Source organism: Homo sapiens, chromosome 4 (assembly GCF_000001405.40).
Source record: "Homo sapiens chromosome 4, GRCh38.p14 Primary Assembly".
Classification (NCBI taxonomy): Eukaryota; Metazoa; Chordata; class Mammalia; order Primates; family Hominidae; genus Homo; species Homo sapiens.
The window spans coordinates 124,023,930-124,050,996 of NC_000004.12; the positions used below are offsets into that span (position 1 = coordinate 124,023,930).

At 36.0% G+C, this 27,067-nt stretch overlaps 2 long non-coding RNA genes across 2 annotated transcripts in view; both read right to left on the reverse strand.

Moving 5' to 3' along the window:
- Positions 1 to 1,365: 1,365 nt before the first annotated feature.
- On the reverse strand, positions 1,366 to 4,155 carry LOC124900776 (uncharacterized). Its single transcript, XR_007058265.1, has 2 exons — positions 4,053 to 4,155; positions 1,366 to 1,674 (listed from the first exon to the last, which is right to left on the reverse strand). It is a non-coding gene; the product is annotated as an uncharacterized LOC124900776 (long non-coding RNA).
- A 5,352-nt stretch (positions 4,156 to 9,507) lies between these two features.
- The window catches only part of LOC105377407 (uncharacterized), a 218,744-nt gene continuing 201,184 nt past the window's right edge, over positions 9,508 to 27,067 (reverse strand). Inside the window, exons 4-5 of the long non-coding RNA XR_939176.3 lie at positions 26,142 to 26,266; positions 9,508 to 9,661 (exon numbers count right to left, since the gene is read on the reverse strand). This is a non-coding gene — a long non-coding RNA (uncharacterized LOC105377407). The remainder of the gene's footprint in view (positions 9,662 to 26,141; positions 26,267 to 27,067) is intronic.

Sequence of the window (27,067 nt, forward strand, 5' to 3'; positions counted from 1 at the left end):
CAACCCCATCAAAAAGTGGGCGAAGGAAATGAACAGACACTTCTCAAAAGAAGACATTTATGCAGCCAAAAAACACATGAAGAAATGCTCATCATCACTGGCCATTACATACTTTATGATTAGAATTTCAATTTAACAATTATTTATTGTGGGCCAGGTGCAGTGGTTCATGTCTGTAATCCCAACATTTTAGGAGGCCAAGATGGGCAGATCACTGAAGGTTGGGGGTTCAAGACCAGCCTGGCCAACATGTGAAACCCCATCTCTACTAAAAATACAAAAAAGTTAGCTGGGCATGGTGGCAGGTGCCTGTAATTTCAGCTACTCAGGAGGCTGAGGCAGGAGAACTGCTTGAACCTGGGAGGCGGATGTTACAGTATCATGCCACTGCATTCCAACCTGGGAGACAGAGAGAGATTCCATCTTGAAAAAAAGTTATTATTTATTGTGCACCATCTACTTATCTACTTACAGACTAGTGCTATAATCTGAATGTATTTTCCAGCATTTATATGTTAAAATTTAATTGCTAATGTAATAGTGTTAAGAGGTAGAGCCTGTAGGAAGTGATAAAGTCATGAGAGCAGATCCTGAGATGGGATTAGGGCCTTCATTAAAGGGCATCAGAAAATGGGTGCATTCACTTTTGCTCTTCCACCATGTGTGGACACAGCAACAAAGCACCACCTTGAAACAGAGATAGCAGCCCTCACCAGAAACCAAATCTGTTGGCACCTTGATCTTGGACTTCTCAGCCTTCTTAACTGTGAGAAATACATTTCTACTGTTTAGAAAGTACCCGGTCTGTGGTATTTTGTTATAGCAGCAGGAATAGACTAAAACAATTAGGTTCCAAACAGAATAAAAAATGTTGACTGACCTCAATGACTATGTAACACTACAGTCATTTTTAATTTATTCAGGGTGAAAGAAAAAAAAAACAGTTACTTTTTTTTTCAGGTTTCAGAACTTGAATACTTAACTATATAATATGTGGTATATATAGATATTTCTTTGTAAGAATCAATGAGTTGAGCAAATGTGTGCCTTTGAAATATTTTCATCTTGCTCAAAGTAAAACAAATATTCCTATTTAGCCTTCCTTTATTTGTGGCAATTTTGCAAGAGGGAGGGATATGGAAGATCAGGTTCTTTTATGAATGATTTTGTAATTTCCTGGTTAGTTGCCTGTGTCCACCATTGAAGGTGAGTTGTGGAGATTTATGCTGATCTAAGCCCAGTGTAGATTCACTCTAGCATTCAATATTCATTGAATACGTGAACAATGCTCTCAAGTACCTCTGGGTGAGTGTGCATGCTGCAACCTCTCAGACCCTGATCAAAGAATAGCCAGGGCAGATGCGGTTGTCTCAAGAGGATTTTAATAAAATCATGCTTTCCTATTTATTGTTTGGTGGGACTTTAATACGATATGCAAACTTCAAAAATAATAGCTGAAGAAAGTGAAGTAGAGGATTCTAGTTCTGATACAGAAACACTATGCCCTGGCATTCCTAAAGTTTAAAGTTAGTGACTATCAGGAAAGCAAATATTTCATGCAAGGGTAAGCCCTCTAATTGCGTTTGTGTTGAATGCTTGCCAGATCCGCATGTAGAGGGTTCCACAGGCGTATTTCTGATCTCACCTTCGCATCGGAGGCCACTTCAAAAGTGCCTGTGGGTGGAAGGAAAGAGGAGGAAAGTCAAAAAAGCACATGAGGAAAGACGAGAGGTAGAGGGAATGAGGCAAGAAAAGGAACAAGTGAAACCCTCTTGGGAAGGGAAGCTGTGTTTCATTTTAGTTGCTTCGTTTGGACGGAAGCCTATAAGAGATTGAATAACATAAGAAAACATACTGCCGCCCTCTCTTCTCATTCTCTCTGAATGTATGTAGAATTGCACTAGTGAAACCAAGAATGAAAACTCTCGGGAAAGCGTATTCTTTAATACTATGTTAATTATTTAAAACTTGTGCATAAAAATTAATTTTAAAATCCATACAATTTCATCTCTGAAAAATGTAATAATAAATTGCTTTTAATATTTTAGCAAAGATTAATTAAGTTAGTTGCTTGCTGGTAATTTTCCTTTCTTATTTTTTGGCAGGATTTGTAAAAAACACATTCTCATAAAAAACAAGAATATTGTTTATGTGTTTGCTAAGTTACCATTACTATAAGACATAACAACATAAAATACACATTCAGAAAATATTTTAACACATAAACAGTTTTAAATGAGGTCTCAAGACTTGCTTCATAATAGGCTTATTTTTAACACAATTATATGCTCAGCTTCATTTTTCTAATTGCCAAAGTGGGAGTAAAAATTGTACTTATTTCATAAGGTTTTTGTGAGTATTAAGTGTGCATGACTCAGAATGGTGGCACATAGTAAGTACACAATATGTAAATATTAGCATCATTCATATCTTTGAAAATGTTGCAATCTGACTAGAAAAAAAGAAATAAAAAGTAAAGATAAACAGTAAATATTGTAGATTTAATTATCCATATGAACTTTTTGCAGAATTAATGGACAAGCAACATGGTTTTGATATAGATGTTTCATTCATTCATTCATTCAATAAATTCATTCAACATTTATTGAGCAGCTACTATGTGCTGAGCATTGTTCTAGGTGCTAGAGTTCCAGCAAGAGATAAAATGGAAACATTTTCACTTCCACAGAGCTAATATTTCAGTGCTGGAACACAGACAATAACCTAGTAAAAACTGAATAAACAGTATTACCAGACAGTATGATAAGTGCAAAGAAGGCAAAGTAGGATAAGGGAATAATTGAGAGAGTTGTAAGATAGCCAGATTTAGTAAAGAAAAAAATTCAAGATGTAAAGTTAGATTTGATTTTCCAATAAATAACATTTTTTAGCATAAGTATGGCCCAAATATTGCATGGGACAAAGTATACTAAAAATCCATAATTGTTTATATAAAATTCAAATATATCTGGAGAGCCCATATTTTATCTGGCAACCCTACATGGGGTGAAGAGCTGAAGATGAGATATTTTAACACAGATCTGCCTTTTAACCTGTTTTTAGTGGTCGGAGTTGGGGGAGTGCACATCAGCTCTCATAATTTCCTCTTGCTTGCATCTAAGGAAATTCATGCTGTGCCATAGTCACACAAATCCAGTCCTATTTGTCATTGGGCCATTGGGTCTATTCCAGGTGTCAGTGTATGAGGACCGTCTGTGCCTTCTCTGACATTTAGTACTGAGAGGTTATGGGGTTCAAAACTCACTGAAATTACATACTGAGTTGATTGAAGGAAGATGACCAGAGTCCAGGACTCAATCCCAGGCTGACATTATATACATTTTGTTACAAGGCAGTTTAATTCTTGAGCCAGAGAAACACCTGACTTAAATATACCAAAGATAATACTTTTAAAAGTCTATTGTGATTTAAAAAAGCCTATTATGATCAACAATGACTTCAATATAAGCTACTTCCATACAAATGATGTTACCTGGAAAATTAAAAAAAATCATAGAAATCTTTGCACTGAACATTTAAAAAGCATTTAATGGATTTTTCCTTCAGTAGCATGGTGTACTTTTCAGTATAAGCAGATATGATTCCTGCATTTATTGCTTGACAATACACAAATTTCCTTTACACTTCAGCTATGATATTAGAAAAGAATGAAGAAGAAGAAGAAAAATCCCAGAAGCCTGAAATCTATGTTTCTGAGAGGTGAGAAACAGCAAACTGAGGAGGCTGGCAGTCAGGAGAGCCGGGATCAAATTGGCAACTATGGGAGTTTGAGTCTGTATTTTTGTTTTCTTTTCCTTTTCTTGTATTTCCAAGAGAAGCACTACAAAAAGAATGTCTTTGGCTTGAGGAAATCCAGGCTGTTTTGCCTGGCTGGACCTTTTCTAGGATATAGGAAGTGGGAGAGGGAAAGAAGATAGATTAGGGAGAGCAGGAAGGAAAAAGAGAAGAGGAGGAAAAGAAAGAAGGCATGAATGGAGAGAACTGAAAATAGTGGAAGAAGGAAGAAAGAAAGGTGAGCAACAATAAATTACCTATGTTGGCTACATTAAAATATTGACAACTAGACCATTCCAGATTTCACCATCTTCATTCATTCTCGTTATCACCATCATCCAGCCTTATTCTCAAGACTCCGCCAGATGCAGGACACTATGTGAGATGATACGCCATGGAGATCTTGGGCAAGAAGCTGAGTGGATGACCCCACCATCACTTAGGTACGATCCACTTCCTCTTCGGTAGTGGAGCTTTATAGTATGTTTCTCAGGCTGACCATGTGGAGACAGAACTGGCCAGTTGCTGTTGCTGTTACCATGTAGAAACTGTCTTTCTCTGCCCCAGGCTAGGATCTCAAAGTTGACTTCAGAACTCTTTACAACATCACGGCTTAGTGACAGGAAAGCTTGCTTTCCAGCAGCTCCTGGCCTTTACTTATTTCTTTCACTCCCGCCAATTTATCTTTGCAGTCCTAGGGAATATTGCCAAGTCTCCTCTAGATGGGGGTAAGCACTGTAAATCCCTAATTCCCAAACTAATCTTATAGCAGGGGACATGTTCTGGGCAGCCTTCCCATTCAGCTAACACCACACGTCCTTTTTTTCTTCCTGAAGTGTGTTCTATATCCTGCATGCTTTCTTAATCCAAAAGTTAATTATCAAATTTACTGCATATTTTTTAAAAACCCAGAACACCTGAACCTGGGACAGCACACATTATTTTTGTTATATAAACTGAGAAATCAGCTTGTATTTTTATTTAACCAGCAGAGTTTCCCTAAAACTAGAGAGCATTTCAAACAGTGGGCTTAGTGTACCCAAAGACAAAAGAGTCCCTGTAGACCATTCAGAAAATGTAATGAACATGTACCAACCCTCAGTTATTCAGAAATAAATGACCCAGGGTGTTCCTTTTCCAGAATTTTCTTCTTTGTCTAAGTGTTTTACATTTGATCACTTTGCTCCTTGTTAGAGTACTTATCAGAAGAACAGAAAAAAATAAGGTAATATTCAAATCCCAGTATATCACCATATGATTCACCAACCAGTATTTGTAAAAACAAAGAACAAATTTTTGTATAATTTGAACAAGAAGTACATGTGAGACAAAAATAGAACATACTACAAAAATTTAAAAGGCTCCAAACATTTGGGGGCTTCTCAAAAATTACAATCTTAGAATCTTTGTGTATATGTATATTTTAATATTCTATGAAATTATTTTTATACTCTTTAAATATTTCTCATTTAAAAAATTGTGCTATTTATTAAACATAGTTGGCTATAAACCTATATTGTTAAATAATGAAATTAATGTCATAATGAATATTTTCTGACATCCTATAACAGAAATTTTAAAAATTTTCTACTACTACTACTACTACTACTACTAATGGAGATTAGGTATATATATGTATATGTGTTTGTGTGTGTGTGTGTATTTTTTTAAACAGGGTCTCACTGTGTCACCCAGGCTGGAGTGCAGTAGCATGACCTCAGCTCACTGCAGCCCCAACCTCTCAGGCTCAAGTGATCCTCCCACCTCAGCCTCCTGAGTAGCTGGAACCACAGTGAACATCAGGATGTTTGGATAATTTTTAAATTTTTTGCAAGGATGGGTCTCGCTATGTTGCCCAGGCTGGTCTCAAACTCCTGGCCTCAAGTGGATAATTTGTTGAAAATAAAGATAAATCTAATGTTCAATCACAATTTTTTTTTTTTTTGAGACGGAGTCTTCCTCTGTCACCCAGGGCAGAGTGCAGTGGTGTGATCTCGGCTCACCGCAACCTCTGCCTTCCTGGTTCAAGCGATTCTCCTGCCTCAGCCTCCCAAGTAGCTGGGATTACAGGTGTGTGCCACCACACCTGGCTGATTTTGTGTATTTAGTAGAGACGGGGTTTTGCCATGTTGGCCAGGCTGGTCTTGAACTCCTGACCTCAGGTGATCTGCCTACCTTGGCCTCTCAAAGTGCTGGGATTATAGGGAATTTAAGTTCAGTTTAATTATGGTAGAGCAAGTCACTTCTCTGAAGATAATTGTTCAAAGAGAAAATGAAAATTACCCAAACTGACCTGATAGAATTACTTCTACTCTGCTCTCCTCAACACAAGACAGTTTTTGGTGTGTCAGGTCAACCCTGCAGTGGGAATTAAATACACATTTTATTCTAATATTTCCTCAGTCATAATTTAACTGTCCAAACACTTAAGCCACTGGAAACTCTTCCTATTGGCAGACTCTGTTAAGCTTCCTGGCTGCATTATTTCACCCTCATTTGCTTAGAGGACTCTCTCAGTGCCTATGTTCTATTCAGTCTTAGCACAGGAAGGCTGCAGGTGCTAGCCTTTTGCATCTTTTTTGTTTGTTTGTTTCATCCTCCATGGGGAATAGGCTAGAGAGAGCTAACTAATTAAAGAATTCCATTGGGGAATATCTGGAGCCAGCAGCTGTGAAACAGCAATCCAGCATTACACGTGCTCTCTCTCTGTCAGGGAAGGCCTAAAGGGTGTGGTGAGTGGCCACTTTTCCAGATGGTCTGCGTTCTGTGATGAGGCCATAGCTGTATGATGCCTCTGCTCTGAAGATGGGACATTTGGCCTTTGGATAAATGTCATTCCCCAAACTTTGAGCCGACAAAACTAGTTTTACTGCATGGAATGTTTTTCTTATCTTCAGTTAGGCCAGAACAAAAAAGCCTTGATTATACTTTTCTAAGTAGCATTCACTTTACTGTCAGAGAAGTTGTTTTCAAATTCTAGAATTTTGAATACTGGTTTTACCTGTGTAAGTGAAATGGGGGGTGGTGGGGAAAAATATGACAACAGGATAGGAAAGAAAAAGAGAGAAGAATGTGTTAAAAAGAAAAAAAAAGTTGAGAAATATATATTGTTGTAATGTCACGGAACTTTATATACTGAATGACAGACATGCTGCTTTTTTTCTGCTCTTGAATCAGTCCATCTGTGTCACCCTTAAAATTCTTCAGGGATCCTAAGACAGGACATTAATCTGAGACATTGTTTGAACTTCTGAAATCCTGTGCTCATGCTCATTAGTCCTTCTGATTGGCCAGGATTTGTCATCAGAATGGTCCTAGAAAATGTCTCTGATATTGGTCTGGAATCTATTGTCTTTATCAGCAGAAAGCAATCCCCATATATCTGTGGGTGATAAAATGCCTTATCATATAATCCTTATATTCAAGTTCCAGTATATATGATATATTATGTAGATCATATTATCCCATCCCCAAACTGCTTTACTCATTCAATAAATATTTTTTGAACACTTACCAAGTGTCACATGCTGTGTGGGGAACATAATAATGAGACTTATTAGGATTATTCAATAAAAAGTGTTCTTTTTAACTTCTAGCAAGATCTTTCCCTTTTCAAGTTCCTGTGTATTCTGACTAGATTATGTGTATTTTATACTATTTTCAGGTGATTTTTATTTAGGATGTAGCTTATTTGACCCACAACTAGATTTTAATGTCATCACAATGCTTAACATATTTTGAGGCACATAGGAGATTTTTTTAAAAAAACAGTATCAACTAGAGAAAAATTCGTTAAAAATAGGTTTATATAAAAAGTTTAAACAAGAAGGAAATGAAACAATTTCTACATCATAGAAACATATCTATAGTGTTGAGTCAAAATTAGCAATATTTTGGTTATTGTCTTAAAACTGAGCACATTATAAATATTTGTCAGAGAAAGTCAGACACAGAGAAACAGTAAAAATTTCCTAAGCATCTTTTTTCATTTACTCTTCATTAACAGAGATTGGAAAGGGTTTTTTGGGGGATAGTTATGTCACCTATTCTAAGATTATGTCTGTGTTTTTATGGTGCCAAACATTTGGATTGAAATGAGAAATGGCACAGGTTTCTTGATTGTTCATTTGGGTAAACTATCATGGACTAGACTTTTTTCCCTCTTTATATGACAGGCCTCAGGTTACAGCTAACCTAAAAATACCATGGGAATGGTAGGAATTGGAGGGGCTTCTTATGAAAACACACTGTTAGAGTGGGCCCTCTTGAACCTTTGTGAGAAGAGGAAAGAAGAGTATTTTTTTAGTTAGAAAAATAAAGCATGAAGTTATAATCTAGTTTCTTCATATACAGCCCTTCAGGCAATAGAAGAAAACAGTTTCACTTGAGTCACTTTAATAAAATACTGAACTATATATTTTGTTTCTAAACATCGTGTTCTTTTGGAAAACATGCTGTAAAGTTTCTATGCAATGGAAATTTCATTGTGATAGTAACTTTGCCAAACTTCTGGAAAGTAACATACACATAAAACTCTTTATTGCTGCCAAATTCTCCTGTTGAACTGGGAAAAAATAAAATATTGCAAGTAAAATGTCTGCTAGATTATAACATATATGTTCTACACTTGCAAGACTGCATTTAACTTCCACCAGGCAGTAAATATTATGCACTCTCACTTACTTAATATTGGCTGGCATTTTGAGTTTAAAAAAAATTTCAGGGCTCCTAAACGGAAGATTTTTTAAATAAACTGTGCTCCTCAGAATATGACAAGATTTTCCTAGGAAATCTGTGGGTGTTATATGAGTTAATTTTTTTCTCTAATGAAATATTTTTACATGGTCCATTAACAGGATTCGAAGTGATTAATTTTTTCTTTGTACTTTTCCAGGTAGATCTTTTAGTGGAAAACTTGGGGCAGTGAAATTGCCAAAGCATTAAGAAAAACAAAAGGAAGCAAAAAGAAGGGAAAGATACAGGCCTGTTTAATTTTCAAATTTAATAATAGTCTATGGATAATTGAGAGTTGGCAGATATAATGTTTCTAGTCAAGTCCTGCCACCTAAAGAGAAGTATTTCATATATGAGCCTTGTACAAATCACTGGCAAACACTGTCCAGGGATGCTGTATGGAATTCATCTCTTCCCTGGATTTCAAAAGTACATAAATCCACAATGTTTTGAATGGCTATGTTTATATTTCATTTCCCTTCTTTTTTCTTTTTGGAGGAAAGTCAGTCAACCCTATCTTCATCCTTTGCTTCCACTCTTGGTAGAGTATGAGTCAGAGCAGAAATGTTCAATTAAATAATTATCTGTGATCTCAGAATATATTTATTATAAGGTCTAAAGGAGAAAGCATAAAAAATCAGAACAAAGAAGCTAGAAGAGAAAACAGAACACATTATGGTGAATAATAAATACTGTTTTGCTCACTGGAAAGCCTTTAAATTACACCACTTCTATCTAATAATTGTTAACCATCATATTAGCCAAGCAAATTTTACACTCGTAGCATTGATTTAACAAATAACATTATATATCTAGCTCCATGCAGATTGAGTCTGGTTGTCCTTATAGGACTTTAAACAAAACAGGCGTGGCAGTCGTACCTAATTGTGAGGTTATTTAAAGGAAAAAAGTCAATTCTGTGAATTGCTTTGCAATAACCGCTACGTATAGTAAAGAACTCAAAATGCTTGTTTAAAATATCTTATAAAATCAATTGTCTTTATTGTTTTGTGTTTGTACAATAAAATTGTACTTCAAATAAGCCAAAGTTTGCTTACAATGTTCACACTGTGTGCATTCTGCATGTTATTCTTCTTCTTTTTGGTTGTTTTATGTTATATTTTCATGATCACTGAATAAAAAAGATAAAAATGTTTTTTAAAAAATTATGTATTTAAAATCGTACAAGAAGTTAACTAAAATGTTATATTATGATCTTAATGCAACAATAATTAAATTGAAAGATATACCTGTCAATAAGGTTGTAATGCAAATAATGTATAATGCATATTTAAATTTCCAACACAGGCACGTTTTTATGTTAACAATAAGTAAATTTTCTTTGCTTCAATGCAACAAAAACCTGGTGATATTCCATAAAACATTTGGAAAAAACATATTCAAAATATTTAAAATTGTAGTTATTTTATGTCTCTTTGTTGTTGCTGTTTAGAAGACAGATACTTTGGTTCTAAGTCTGATTTTCAAATCAGATTTCTTTGGTTAATAGCTAAATTAAACATCCTAATTTTATTTTCACAATGAGTTAAATGAAGAGATTTTTAGGGTTAGCCTTTATTTCCATGATTCTAACTGTCTGGAAATTTCTTCCCTTTGAAGAGGAATTAGCACTCTCGGTGTCTCCTTAAATGGTGGTTTGCTCTGAAGCATTTATGAGTTTTCCCTTCCACATACACTCATATTTGGTATTTTGGTTTTAATCTTCTCATTCCTTCAGGGTAGCATTTACTTGTAGACATTTTAAATTTCTATGATGCGATTTTTTTAAAGTGGAAAGATAAAATTTTATTTTTCAAAGAAGAATATAATTGCCTCTCTTATAGGCATTGAGAGAAACCACTGGTGCCAGAATCTGATTTGCAATTGGAGAAAGTGTATCCTACAACTCAACAAGACACTCACTGCATTGCTGTTCTATCTTTTAGTGTATAGGCCACCTCTAATGTCACTGTACTGGAAATGGCTTTTCAAGTAAATGTTGTGTGGTGTCCAGGTAGCTTCTCATAAAACAACCTGGAAAGCAGGAGGTACAATGAAGTGCACGGGCTTTCAGTCATCCCATGGTTAATCACCAAGCTTATACATCAGTACCCTTACTTTTGGTATGCAACAATTTATTCAAAATATGTTTGATTAATTGTATATCCATCATTACTGGGAAGGTTGTGCATAAAATACAATATGAATGTCACTGGCATAAAGCTACACTGTTACCAATTTGCATGAGTTTATAAATGTAGCTTTATACATCATTTAACAGTTTAATAATTTTGAAGAGGACTTTTATCAGAATTGTGTTAAATTAGGTAGTGCTAAAATCTAAAGAGTGATTACATATGAATATATACAAGTCATATAATAGTCAAAACACATAGAATTTTCTTAGAGAATAAAAAAGGATACACTAAACCTTCAGGGAAAGAAAGCTGTGAACAACTGTGAAATCTTACAAGAAAGGTTAGAAGAAAATCATATTTTATTTCTTTCACTTTGGATGCTATATAAATTATATGAGTGAATATTAGTTTGTAGACCATCTTGATTCTGGTAAGACCATGCTAAAAGGTTGTCTACTATATTTTGATGTAATTTTTTTTGTTTTTTTTTTGAGACAGAGTCTCACTCTGTCATCCAGGCTGGAGTGCAGTGGCACAATCTTGGCTCACTGCAACCTCCGCCTCCCAGGTTCAAGCAACTGCCCTGCCTCAGCCTCCCGAGTAGCTGGGAGTACAGGCGCTCACCACCATGCCTGGCTAATTTTTGTATTTTTAGTAGAGACAGGGTTTCTCCATATTGGCCAGGCTGGTCTCAAACTCCTGACCTTGTGATCCACCCTCTTCAGCCTCCCAAAGTGCTGGGATTACAGGCATGAGCCACAGCTCCTGGCCTGATCTAATCTTTTAAAAGGAGCAACCAGTTGGTAGGACAATTGAGAAAAACTGTGAATAATTAAGGCAATGTAAAAGTACTGAAATATTAGGCAAAATTCAAGCAAACAAGTTTCTTTAGTTAATTGGTATGAGTGGTTAGACCTCACAAAAAACAGATCCTATTTTCAACAAAGAAACCATGACAAAAATAGCAGCAACACTCAGTACATCCTGTACAATTAAGCACATGTGCAAATTAACAGTAAAATTGCTGACAAAAAATGTATCATGTCTGTGTCAATATCCAGTTTATTTCTGGAAATGACTAGGGGAAGACATAATTGATAAACTAAATGTCTGATATACAAACATATCATTTAAGATGTTTCTGCTTCTTGATTTATTAGAAAGAATAACAACTAGGGGAGGAAAACACTAACCTTCCATTGTTTACAGTGGATTTAAAATTACACAGTAAGCGGACACAAAAGATGTTCTTGGAATACTCTGTTAAATAAATTTTCAATGAGAATTCCAGATGAGCCATGATGTTAAACAGATGTATTATTTTCTAGACTTCAAGTAAGAAGGAACAATAATAATTGTTTGTGTATATACAGAATACTATCTTAATATTTATTGTTTTCTCAATAAAATATAGAGATAAAATACTGCTACAACACTATGTTTGAGATGAAGGGCTGGTTAGCAGCTTATTGAACTTTAAATTTTGAGTTTGTATTAAATTATTCGATTTAATAATTTTAAAATGTCACTTTCAGAATAACCTTGGAAAGGATAACTTCTAATAAATTCTTTTATGAATCAGACTAAAAGCCAATCTTTGTCATGTCTATTAAATCTCTCTTTGAAATATGTGTAGTCTATAGGATTCTTTTTGTTTGACATTATTTCTGAATTGGCTAACTTGTACAGCAAATTACAACAATGCAATTTCTAAATAGAATGACCATGGAAATATGGGTATCTCTTACAGATCTTGATTTCAATCCTTTGAATATACACACAGAAGTGATATTGCCGGATAATATGGTAGCTCTATTTTTAATTTTTTGAGGAACCCCCATACTGTATTCCATAGTGGCTGCACTATTTTACAACCATGAAAATATATAATAGCCTGATTTTCCTCAAGCTGTTCATTTTAAGGAATTGTCACATTTGCCCTTTCTTTGCTTTGAGGGGTTCCTATATCAGAGATCCAATGCTGGGGGGTATGAAAAGATGAATGTCTCAGCTAAAGAAGAGAGAGAGGAAATTTACCCTTCCTCTGTCTTTTTGTTCTATTTGGCCCCTCCATGGATTGAATAGTGCTCACCCACATGGGTGAGGGTAGGTCTTTACTCAGTCTACTGATCCTAATGTTGTCTCTTCTGGAAATATTGTTACAGAAACACTTAGAAATAATGTTTCACCATTTATCTGGTCCTCCCTTACCACAATCAAGCTGACATATAAAATTAACCATCATATTCTTTTACCTTTATGATGGCTGGAAGGGTTGGTTGATAGTTCTGTTGCAGCTTGTAGAAGGAAGTAGTTCTCTTCGGGCTTTTGTAACATATCTCTCCCTAAATGACTTATTGTTTTCCCATGGGGTCAAATACTTCATTTTTATTGACAACTCTGAAAGCCCTGCCAAAACCTTGCCAATCTCATCACAGGGTAAAGAGGTTTTCCCTTTCTGGTTACCATTTTCTTTCTCTCTTTTTCTATGATGTCTCCTTTCCATACTGAACTGCCATTCAATGTCATGTCCCGTATCCTCTAGAAGCCCATCTACCTTAACCTTACCATCTGCAATGCATGCCTATTGATTTTCTGTTTACTATGTTATCACCAGAGAAAATTTCTTAAGTGAGTTTTAGCATTGCACATGTGTGTTTATGTATTCATTTATTTGCTTTAAAAACTTTGGACAAATAAGTTACTAAATTGTTAATAACCAGTGTTTAGCTTTTCAAATCAAACAAAAATAAAATGAAGCCAATTACCTTGAAATATTAAGCAACATCTTAGAGTGAAATACAATTTGGCAAGTGGGAAGGCTTGAGGCCATCCCTTGCATGTCTAAGCTCAGTTATGCCACATGACTTGAGCTTTCACTGTACATATCAACATAATTGGAATAAGAGAACAAATCATTCTTAAAACTTTTTAGTACATCCAAACAAATTTATGCCTTTAGGAAAGGATACAAGTTACTTTAAAAGCACATTTATTTTGAGACCCAATTCACAAGGCAATTTATTTCTTTCCAGCAGAAACAGAAAGTGGCCTTCTTGATTTATTTCTCTTTCTGTTGATTTTTGTGACTTACAAAAATACATATACTTCTAAAAATCAGAAATTATTGCCAAATAATTAAACTGTGACTGATAGAGGAATGGTGTTGCTGTGATGCATGAGAAGTAAAATACACGATTGTTGACTTTGAAGAACTCATAATTTGTTATGATGATAAAACTTAATAGTAATACAGGAAGAATTCATTACAAGTGTGTATAATCAAAGAGTAGGAAAACAAAGCAAAGGAAATTATTTTGATATTGTTTGTTTCATTTTCATCATTGGGTTAAAAAAAAGTTACCTAAAATTAAGGCTTTACTGGTTGGTTATTCAACTCCTCATTTTGCTTCATTGTCTTCAGTGATACATCCAAGGATGTTGTGGATTAGCTGGAATATGCCATCTCTGGGTGATGTGGTTCTGTCGTGTTATGTGATTAGAAAATGCCTTACACTTTTTCCATCTCCTGAGGTTGTTCATATTAACCTAGAATGATAGCCCTCCATGTGTCACACCTTAGTTGCCACGAGCATTTTTAGATTTTATTTGGTGTTTCTGCCTAACTGGACTACCTACTCTAGTCACTAGGAAAAAATGATAGCAATTTCAGTTCAGTTCACTTAATCTTATGAAAGAAGAACTATTAAATCAAGACTTTATAAAAACAACCAAAGACTTAGTTGACCATGTGTGTATGTACCTTGTGGAATAAAATGTTTGTGGCTTACCACATAATTAATAAGCATAAATAATATTTAACCCAGATTTGTGCAGCTTGTATGGGTCGCTCCTTCATACTTTTTCAAATCGTGATTTGAGGCACCATTCTATAGATATTGGGAAGTCATTTGGGGTGTGTGTGTGTGTGTGTGTGTATGTGTTCAGATTATTTTCTGGAATGGTTACATGTTTTATGAATCCAAGTAATGTCTCTACCGGAGACCTTTCTTCTGGCCATGGAATAACTTCTCCAGGAAGCTTTGATATTCCCATATCATTCTACCACAAGCCTGAATATAGATAAGTCATTTAATTCCTCAAGCAAAACAAACAATCAAACAAACAAACAAACAAACAATGTCCTAAAAGGAAATTTATGTCTTTATTTTTAAAAGAAGAAATGTAATATTTTTCTTGATTCTTAAAAAAAAATCAAAGCCCTGTCACAACTCTACTTTTCATAATATGCTTCTCATACATACTAGACAAAGCTACAAAATAGTACAGGTATTTATTATCAATTATTCCATTACTAGAGTATTGCTAAAATCTTTTATCAGATCTCTTTAGCAGAACTGATTTTACGTTGGTTTTGCCTAGGTAATTTGATTCTCTTTTCTCCTTATTCTTTGATATCTCTGATTCTCCTTTGGTTTCTGGAATTCCATGCTGATCCATGCGGAGCTGGTTACTTTCATAAATGAATACCAATTGATAAATAAGAAACTTACCAGTTGCTCAAATTTCAGTCTTTAAGATAAAGAGATAACACAAAATATACTCATTTATGTTGCTATTTCTTCTTTACACACTGAATACAGCCAATACTACAGAAGAGCTGATACAACTCCTCTCAGGAGTCAAGAAAAAGAGGAGAAAAAGGGAAAGCCATCAAATTCATTGGCTTGTGATATTTAAAAAGTTTCAGAAAGTAAAAATCTATTCAGAGGACCTCATTTTGTGATGACTTCTTGGACAATGACATCTATTTTTATTGTCAGCCTGTGTGGTCTTACTCTCTGCCATGCTATAGTCATTAGACAGGGCCAACAATAATATCTGTCAATAGTAGCCTTGAATACAGGACTTGGCAGTTAATGATCTTTTATGTTAATTAAAGCCAAATTAACTTTTGCAAAGTAATTTGCAAATTTCAAATTTTATTTGTCATATTGGGATAAAAGTCTCCATTTATGTATTTTGAACTGAGTATGTAATATTGGAAAGACTACAGATTTTCTTCTTCTTTTTTTAAATTTTATTTAATTTTATTTTAAGTTCCAGGATACATGTGCAGGACATGCAGGCTTGTTACACAGGTAGACACGCGCCATGGTGGTTTGCTGCACCTGTCAACCCATCACCTAGGTATTAAGCCCCACATGCATCCATCAGCTGTTTATCCTGATGCTCTCCCTCCGCCTGACCCCAGACAGGCCCCAGTGTGTGTTGTTCCCCTCCATGTGTCCACGTGTTCTTATTGTTTAGTTCCTACTTAAAAGTGAGAAGATGTGGTGTTTCGTTTTCTGTTCCTGTGTTAGTTTGCTGAGGATAACGGCTTCCAGCTCCATCCGTGTCCCTGCAAAGGACATGATCTCATTACTTTTTATGGCTGCATAGTATTCCATGGTGTGTATGTACCACATTTTCTTTATGCAGTCTATCATTAGTGGGCATTTGGATTGATTCCATGTCTTGGCTATTGTGAATAGTGCTGCAATGACCATACATGTGCATGTATCTTTATAAAAGAATGATCTATATTCCTTTGTGTATACATTCAGTAATGAGATTGCTGGGTCAAATAGCACGTCTGGTTCTAGGTCTTTGAGAAATTGCCACACTGTCTTCCACAATGGTTGAACTAATTTACATTCCCACCAACAGCGTAAAGGGTTCCTATTTCTTCAGAGCCTTGCCAGCATCTGTTGTTTCTTGACTTTTTAATAATCACCATTCTGACTGGCATGATATAGTATCTCATTGTGGTTTTCATTTGCATTTCTCTAATGATCAGTAATGTTAAACCTTTTTTCTTATGTTTGCTGGCCACATAAATGTCTCTTTTAAGAAGAGTCTGTTCGTGTCCTTTGCCCACTTTTTAATGGGGTTGTTTGTTTTTTTCTTGAAAATTTGTTTAAGTTCCTTGTAGATTCTGGATATTAGATCTTTGTCAGATGGGATAGATTGCAAAAGTATTCTCCCATTCTTAGGTTGTCTGTTCACTCTGATGATAGTTTCTTTTGCTGTGCAGAAGCTCTTCAGTTTAATCAGATCCCATTTGTCAATTTTTGCTTTTGTTGCATTTGCTTTTGACATTTTCATCATGAACTCTTTTCCTGTGCCTATGTCCTGAATGGTATTGCCTAGATTTTCTTCTAGGGTTTTTATAGTTTTGGATATTACATTTAAGTCTTTAATCCATCTTGAATTAATTTTTGTACTACAGAAGAGCTCCAGTTTCAAATGTCTGCATATGGCTAGCCAGCTTTCCCAGTGCCAGTTATTAAATAGGTAATCCTTTCCCAACTGTTTGTTTTTGTCAGGTTTGTCAAAGATCAGATGGTTGTAGATGCACAGTCTCATTTCTGAGATCTCTATTCTGTTCCATAGGTCTATGTGTCGGTTTTTGTACCAGTACCACGCTGTTTTCGTTACTGGAGCCTTGAAGTCAGGTAGTGTGATGCCCCCTTCTTTTTGTTTAGGATTGCCTTGGCTATGTGGGCTGTTTTATGGTACCATATGAATTTTAAAGTAGTTAGTTTTTTTCTAACTTTTGAAGCATGTCCATGGTAGTTTAATGGGAATAGCATTGCATTTATAAATTTATAATTTACTTTGGGCAGTATGGCCATTTTCGCGATATTGAATCTTCCTATCCATGAGCGTGGAATGTGTTTCCATTTGTTTGTGTCCTCTATAATTTCCTTCAGCAGTATTTCTCCTTGAAGAGGTCCTTCACTTCCCTTGTTACCTGTATTCCTAGGCATTTTATTCTCTTTATAGCAATTGTGAATGGGAGTTCATGATTTGGCTCTCTGCTTGCCTATTATTGGTGTATAGGAATGCTTGTGACTTTTGCACATAGATTTTGTATCCAGAGACTGCTGAAGTTGCTTATCAGCGTTAGAAGCTTTTGGGCTGAGACGATGGAGTTTTCTAGATATAGGATTATGTCATCTGCAAACAGAGACAGTTTGACTTTCTCTCTTACTATCCGGATACACTTTCTTTCTTTCTCTTGCCTGATTGCCCTGGCCAGAACTTCCAATACCGTGTTGGGTAGGAATGGTGACAGAGTGCATCCTTGCCTTGTGCTGGTTTTCAAGGGGAATGCTTTGAGCTTTTGCCCATTCAGTATGCTATTGGCTGTGGGTTTTTCATAAATGGTTCTTATGATTTTTAGGCATGTTCCTTCAATACCTAGTTTATTGAGAGTTTTTTTTAACATGAAATGATGTTGAACTTTATCGAAGGCCTTCTCTGTGTCTATTGAGGTAATCATGTGGTTTTTGTCTTTAGTTCTGTTTATGTGATGAATTACGTTTATTGATTTGTGTATGTTGAACCAGTGTTGCATCCTGGGTATGAAGCCAACTTGATCATGGTAGATAAGCTTTTTGATGTGCTGCTGGATTTGGTTTGCCAGCAACTTATTGAAGATTTTGGCACAGATTTTCATCAGGAATATTGATCTGAAGTTTTCTTTTTTTTGGTATCCTGCCAGGATACAAATCCTGCCAGGTTTTGGTATCAGGATTATGCTGGCCTCATAAAATGAGTTAGGGAAAAGTCCTTCCATTTCAATAGTTCAGAATAGTTGCAGAAGAAATGATACCAACTCCTCTTTGTACCTCTGGTAGAATTCAGCTGTATATCCGTCTGGTCCTGGGCTTTTTTGGTTGGTAGGCTATTTATTACTGCCTCAATTTCAGAACTTGTTATTGATCTATTCAGGGATTCAACTTCTTTCTGGTTCAGTCTTGGGAGGGTGTATATGTCCAGGAATTTATCCATTTCTTCTAGATTTTCTAGTTTATTTGCATAGATTTTTTATAGTATTCTCTGATTGTTATTTGTGTTTCTGTGGGGTCAGTGGTGATGTACCCTTTATCATTTTGTATTGTGTCTATTTGATTCTTCTCTCTTTTCTCCTTTATTAGTCTAGCTAGTGGTCTATCTATTTTATTAATATTTTCAAAAACCAGCTCCCGAATTATTGAAGGGTTTTTCATGTCTCTATCTCTTTCAGTTCTGCTCTTATCTTGGTTATTTCTTGTCTTCTGTTAGTTTTGTGGTTGTTTTGCTCTTAGTTCTCTAGTTCTTGTATTTGTGATGTTAGGGTATCAATTTAAGATCTTTCTACCTTTTTGATGTGGGCATTTGTTGCCATAAATTTTCCTCTTAACACTGCCTTAGCTGTGTCCCAGAGATTCTGGTCTGTTGTCTCTTTGTTCTCATTGGTTTCAAAGAACTTCTTGATTTCTACCTTAATTTGTTTATTTACCCAAGAATCATTCAGGAGCAGGTTGTTCAATTTCCATGAAGTTGTGAAGTTTTTGAGTGAGTTTCTTAATCTTGGGTTCTAATTTGGTTATTCTGTGGTCTGAGAAATTGTTTGTTATGATTTCGGTTATTTTGCATTTGCTGAGGAGTTTTTTACTTCCAGTTGTGTGATTTATTTTAGAGTAAGTGCCATGTGGCACTGAGAAGAATGTATATTCTGTTGTTTTTGCGTGAAGAGTTCTGTAAATATTTATCAGATCCACTTGATCCAGAGCTGAGTTCAAGTCCTGAATATGCTTGTTAATCTTCTGTCTTGATGACCTAATATTGACAATGGGGTGTTAAAGTCTCCCACTATTATTGTGTGGGAATCTAATTCTCTTTTTAGGTCTCTGAGAACTTGTATGTACTTGGGTGCTCCTTTATTGGGTGCATATCTATTTAGGATATTTAGCTCTTCTTGTTGAATTGATCCCTGTACTATTATGGAATGCATTTTTCTTTTGTCTTTTTGATCTTTGTTTAAACTCTGTTTTGTCAGAAACTGGGTTTGTCACCCCTGCTTTTTTTCTGCTTTCCATTTGCTTGGTAGATTTTCCTCCATCCCTTTATTTTGAGCTTATGTGTGTCTTTGCATGTGAGATGCGTCTCTTGAATACGGCACAATGATTCGTCTTGACTCTTTATCTGGCTTGCCATTCTGTATTTTTTAATTAGGGCATTTACTCCATTTGCATTTAAGGTTAGTATTGTTATGTGTGAATTTGATCCTGTCATGATAATGCTAGCTGGTTATTTTGCAAACTTATTGATGTTTATAGCATCATTGGTTTTTGTACTTCAGTATGTTTTTGCAGTGGTTGCTAATGGTTTTTCCTTTCCATATTTAGTTTGTCCTTCAGGAGCTCTTGCAAGGCAGGCCTGGTGCCTCAGCATTTGCTTGTCTGAAAAGGATTTTATTTATCCTTCATTCCTTTTCATTTATTAGTTTGGCCAGATATGAATTTCTGGGTTGGAAATTCTTTTCTTCAAGAATGTTGACTATTGTCCCCCAGTCTCTTCTGGCTTGTAGGGTTTCTGTTGAGAAGGTCACTGTTAGTCTGATAGGCTTTCCTTTGTAGGTGACCTGGCCTTTCTCTCTGGTTGCTGTTAACATTTTTTTTTTCATTCATTTTGACCTTGGGGAATCTGATGATTATTTGTCTTGAGGCTGATCTTCTCAAGAAGTATCTTACTGGGGTTTTCTGATTTCCTGAATTTGAATGTTGGCCGTCTTGTTAGGTTGGGGAAGTTCTCTTGGATGATATCTTGAAGTATGTTTTCCAACTTGGTTCCTTTCTCCCTGTTTTTTTCAGGTACCCCAATCAGTCACAGGTTTTGTCTTTTTACATAATCACATAGTTCTTGGAGGTTTTGTTCATTCCTTTTCATTCTTTTTTTCCTCTAATCTTGTCTGCCTGTTTTATTTCAGCAAGATAGTCTTCAGGCTCTGAAATTCTTTCCTCTGCTTGGTCTATTTGGTTATTGATACTTTTGGTTGCATTGTGAGGTTCTCCTGTTGTGTTTTTCAGCTCCATCAGGTCATTTATATTCCTCTCTAAGCTGGTTATTCTGGTTAACAGCTCCTTCTGAAGCCTACTTCTGTCACTTCATCCATCTTAGCCTCCACCCAATTCTGTGCCCTTGCTGGAAAGGTTTTGCAATCATTTAGTGGAAAAAAGGCACCCTGGCTTTTTGAGTTTTCAGAGTTTTTTCATTGATTCTTTCTCATCTTTGTGAGTTTATCTAGCTTTGATCTTTGAGGCTGCTGATCTTTGGATGGGGTTTTTGTGGGGTCTTGTTTGTTAATGCTGGTGTTGTTGTTGCTTTCTGTTTCTTTGTTTTTCTTTTTAATAGTCAGGGCCTCTTCCACAGGGCTACTGTGATTTACTGTGTGTCCACTCCAGACCCTACTTGCCTGGGTCCCTCCTGCACCTGGAGGTGTCACCAGTGGAGGCTACAGAATAGCAAAGATGGCTGCCTACTCCTTCCTCTGTGATCTCTGTTTCATAGGGGCACTGACCTGATGCCCGTGGGAACATTCCTGTATAAAGTGTCTGGTGACCCCTGCTGGGGGGCTCTCACCCAGGCAGGAGGCACGGGATCCCAGACCTGTGTAATGAAGCACTCTAGCTGCCCCTTGGCAGAGGGGGTGTGTTGTGTTGGCAGGAATCTCACTCTTCTGGACTGCTCAGATTCCTCAGAGCCAGCCCGGAGAAAGACTAAGTCTGCTGATTCATGGAGACTGTGGCCACCCTTTCCCCCAGGGGCTCAGTCCCGGGGAGATCAGAGTTGTATCCCTAAACGCTTGGCTGGAGTTTCTGAAATTCAGGCAGGGAGACCCCAGCCAGTGAGGAGAGATGGGTTGGGGTCCAGCCTAAAGAGGCAGTCTGGCCATGATCTGCCACAGCCACTGTGCTGCACAGTGGGAAATTCCACCTGTGTCCAAACTGTCGAGTCTCTTCAGCACTGGCAAGGGAAAAACAGCAGATTGGAGCTGCAGTGATGGCTGCCACCCCTCCCTTCAGGAGCTCAGTAGTCTTAGGCAGTAGGCAGTCACAGTGATGGCAGCTGCCACTTCCCTAGGAAGCTCAGTTGTCTTAGGCAGCAGGAAGCCACAATGATGATGGCCACCTTTCCCTCTGGGAACTTGGTTATCTTAGGCAGACTCCAGCTGAGCGGCCACTGAGAATCTGCACAGCTCTGTGCTTGGGGCCCAAGGCCTTGGTGGCATGACCTCATGAGGGGGATCTCCTGATCTGTGGGTTGCACAGATCCATGGAAAAAGCATGGTTTCCCCGGCAGGGTAGCACAATCACTCACTGCCTCCCTTGGCTGGGGGTAGTAGCTCCCCTCTCCCCCGTGTGGCTCCCAAGTGAGCCATTGCTCCACCCTGCTTTTCCTCATTCTCTGTGGATTGCACCAACCGCCTAGTCAATCCTATTGAGAGAAATTGGATACTTCAGTTGCCAGTGCAGGATTTACTTACCATTTTCATTATCGGTGAGACTCTCCAACCACTGCTGTTTCTAGTCAGTTATCTTGGCCTTGCTGATTTTCTTCTTAATTATGTAATGATAACTTTATATCCAAACGATTGCTTTATTGAGTTGAAATTAGCTTCTATTTATTCATTTACTAAATAAAATAGATCATTGTGCTGGGTTTGAGGAATAAATAAAAGCAGAAGCAGGTCTTTCACTTCTGTGACCTAACTGTATGGTGGAAAAGAAAGACTTAATAAACAGTTTATATTTACAGATATTATATTAGAGGAGTGATTCCTACCCAGGGCTGTGCAACAGAAATATATGAAAGTTTATTTCATCAATGTTTCTTAAAACATACATGATTGACTGCGTGACTCTCATGGATATGAGTTTTAAAAGATTTTACTTTGAGTCTGACATACTCATCTCCTAGTCATATAAAAATGATTCTGGCATTAAAAGGATGGAAATTTTAACTCAAGCTGGGAGACAACATTTGTTCTGGGACATCTTTTATTCTGAGTCTTGAGAATAATGTAGGAATTCACTAGATTGAGAAAACTGAAGGAACATTAGAGTCCAAGAAACATAGATGAAAAGGCAGATAGGCACATATAAACAAAAGAAAGACTGTTAATGTTTAAGTGCAGCGTGGCATGACAATGACTTCTGGAAACCCATGGCAAAAACAAGCAAACACCAACAACATAAAAAAACAGATCTGTGTTGACCAATCACAAAATAAAGTGTCCTTAAAAGTGAACATGTCAACAGAAATTTGAATAAAAGTAAATGACTGTGTCTATGTAAGAGCAACTTTTATTTTCTGGCAAAGAAAGAAGCAGTGCATATGGTAGTGTGCAGGAATAATAGCATGGGAGCAGTTTTCACCCACTGAAAAAATTTGTTTTAACATGTTTGTTCTCTAGGCAATATCCTCATGAACACATGTCATAGATGAAACTCCCTGACATTTCTTGATTAGTATTTTCTTAGTTTTGAATAATTAAAAATTAAAAGTAGGTATGATTAAGTTTATAAGACAAAAGTTATATTTACATGTCACACATTGTGCTAAGCATTTTAAAAACACTGCTTCATTTAAAAACATTGCACATTTTTACAACTATAAAATTTATTAGCTTCATTTTATTGAGAAAAGCTAAGATTCTGAAAAGTTGAACGGCTTATCTAATATACTTTGTACCTTCAAATCCAGACCAACTTCTAAGTCTGGCTTCCAATGGACCTGCTATACAGTCTTCTTGTACGATTTGGAAACACCTTTTTTTCAGAAATACTTAGCCTATAAGGAGGAGTATGGTAGAAAACACTTCTGAATGCCACAGAACAACGCACCATCTCTGTACTTTTGCTCTGTATACATGACAGAAGAAAAACTGTCAAGCAGTAAACTCTTCACCTGCAGGCAAGCATTACTTTCAAGTGTCTCCTTGAGAATATGAAAGATAATTGATAACTGCCATGAATATATTAGTCAAAATTTGAGTGCATTTTGTTTCAAATTGAACTCTAAAATGAAACATACTCTATGCCAGAAGGAAATACTTTTTTTCTTTTTCTTGAGATGGAGTCTCGCCCTGTCATCAGGCTGGAGTGCAGTGGCATGATCTCAGCTCACTGCAATCTCCACCTCCTGGGTCTAAGCGACTCCCCTGCCTCAGCCTCCCAAGTAGCTGGGATTACAGGTGCCTACCACCATGCCCAGCTAATATTTTTTTGTATTTTAGTAGACACAGGGTTTCACCATATTGGCCAGGACGGTCTTGGTCTCCTGACCTCGTGATCTGCCCGCCTCAGCCTCCCAAAGTGGGAAATTCTTTTTTAAAAAATTATTGTATGTATGCAAGGTATACAATATGATGTTTGGATATGCATATATATAGTAAAATTAATAGTACAATAAAGCAAATTAACCTATCCATCACTTCCTGTATTTACTTTTAGTGTGTTTATTCAGTATGAGAACTTAAAATCTACTCTCAGCAAATTTTCAGTATACAATATGATATTATTAACTATAGTCCTCATATTGTACATTCATTCTCTAGACTTATTCATGCTACGTAATTGCAGGTTTGTACCCTTTGACCACTTCTCCCCATTTTCATTCTCTTTCTGCCCCAATAACTACTGTCCTACTCTCTGTTTTTATGTAATTGACTTTAAAAAAAATTCCCCATATTTGTGAAATAAAGCAGTATTTTCATTTCTGTCTCTGGTTTATTTTACTTAGCATAATGTCCTCCAGGTTCATCTATGTTGTCACAAACTGCAATATTTCTTTCTTTGTTAAGGTTGAGTAATATTTCATTGTATATATAGATCACATTTTCTTTATCCATTCATCTGTCAATAACACTTAGTTTGTTTCCATATGTTGGTTTTGAGAATAATGCCACAATGAACATGGAAATTCAGATGTCTTTGTTAGGTAGTGATTTTATTTCCTTTGGTATATACCCAGAAATGAGATTACTGGATTATATAGTAGTTCTATTTTCAAGTTTTTGAGGAATCACCATACTGTTTTCCATAATGGCTATATCAATTTACATTCCAGAAAGGAATTCTTAAATAAAATTCAAGGAGAGGTGTTATAATTTGGATATGATCTGCTTGTCCCTGTCAAAACTCAGGTTGAAATTTTGTTCCCGATGTGGTGGTGTTGGGAGGTGGAGTCTCGTGGGAGGTATTTTGCTTATGGATCAAATCTGCTATGAATAACTTGGTGCTGTTTACATGATAATGAGTTGAGTTCTTGTTGTAGTGAGACTGGATTATTTATCATAGGAATGGACTAGTTCCCATGAGAGTGAGTTGTTATAAAGCCAGAACACCTCTCAGGTTTTCCCCTCTTCACACATATCTGCTTCCCTTTTGACCTTCTCTGCCATGTTGTGATGTGGTACAAAGGCCCTCACTGGAAGCAAGGGGCATGCCCTTGAACTTCTCAGCCTGCAAAACCATGACCTAACATAAAACTTTTATTTTCCTTTTTAAATAAATGACCCAGTCTCAGGTATTTTTATAGCAACCAAAAATGGACTAAGACAGTAGAGATGAGCTCATGAATGTTTATTGGTCCCTCTTCCCTAGGTCAGAAAACAGGATTGATATCCTCCTTCTTCATGATTTACAAGGTCAAGTTATTGGCTTTTATGAATATGTAAATCCCTCTGTTCTGTGTAGGCTCACATATCAGCTACATTATTCTCTCATTCTTCTTAGATCTATAATTTACTGACTCCCTGTCAGTCTTTCCCATTAAGTGAAAGGTTTAGCATGGCTTTCCTCTTCATCCCAAATTTGACTTATCAAGATGGCTTCAAAATTTATGGTATAAACTTATATTTTAACTTTTCATTGTCTTTATCTCTTGCATTCCAATCTTGTAATCTGGACTCACAGCTCCCAATTCCCAGCCTCATACTCCAATTTTCCAACTTTATTATTCCTTTGTAAGTGTAACAATACCTTTATCATTAAACCAGTTGAAATTATTAGGTTCTTCTTAATTGGTTTGATAACTTCTTCATCTTTGGAACATTCTTTTCCATCAGCTTCTATGACACCATACTATTGTGGATTTTTTTTTCTTTCACCTTTCTGATAGCTCATTGTTTCATTCCCTTCATGAGCATATGTTCCCCACTATTCTTTTTTAAAAAGATTTATTGGGGCATAATTGATAGATAAAAATTGCAAACATTAAAGTAGATATTTTAATCAGTTTGAACATATGCATACACCTATGATGCCATCACCACAGCCAAGGTACTAAACATACCCATCACCTTCAAAAATAAATTTTCTTGTGTCATTTTGCATGTAGTTTTGTTTGTTTTGGTAAGAACATTTAACATGAATTCTATCCTCTTAAAAATGTTTAAAGTGCACAATATTGTATTATTAACTATAGATACTATGTTGTACAATGGATCTGTAGAACTTATTCGTCTTGTATGGCAAAAACTTTATACCCATTGAAGGAAAATTCCTCATTCTTCTCTTCTTACAGCCACTGGCAACAGTGTTTCTTAGATTTTTATCCTCAACCTCTTCTTACTTTAAATACTTTGTATGAGTAATGTCATCTGTATCCATTACATTGCAGTGTCATCTGTCCACTTACCCAGAAGACTCCAGCTCAGGTTCATCTCCTGGAGACTTTGGAGATGTGTATATCCAACCACAACTAGATATTTTATTTTAAAGAAGTACTTCCAGGCAGAAAAACTGTGCAGAGACCATAGGCAACTGTGAATTTAGAGGACATAAGACTGTTTCATTTTGAGTTAAACTGAAGAAAGGCAAAAAGATAAATTTTGAGAGACAGGACAGATATTATTCGTGGAGGTCCTTATAAGACGTATTAAAAGATGTGATTTAATCTGGAGTACAACACAGAGTGATTGAAGGTTACCAATCATAGAAATGTGATTAGAGAGATTACTCTGAAAGTGGGATAGAAATTGATTGAAGAAAAGGCAGTGGAGAATGACCAGTTGGGAATTTTTTTAACCTAAGTAAGAGTTTGTGGAAGTCTGAAATAAAATAATTAGAGAGAAAAAAGAAGTCTCAAATAGAGAGAAATGTTCATTAAATAAATGTATTAAAGAATGTTTTATGCAGTTAGTATAGTGATTCAGTTGATGTGAAGTGAATTTCTTTCACATTGAAATAAATTTAGTAGAGTTCCTGAAAATCATATTTGGGAATATGATCAGAGAAATATATTAAGTGTATGTACATATTTGAAAAATATACAATAAAATATGTCAAACTGATGAATTTTGGAAGTTTTACTTGATCCAATACAATTGAGTGATCAATAAAACTTAAAAAGCAAACAAGCAAGTAAAATATAAAGAGTAAGAACAATAATGAAAACATGGATTATATATTTGTGCATTGATAAAGAGAAAAACTAAAGCAAGTTAGATTGTTTTCTACTGACTAAATCAATTGAAGTTGATTAAATGTCTCTATGTTTATGTTCACATCTGTTAGACCAAACCTATATGAATAAAAATATCAATTTGATCATTATTTGATATC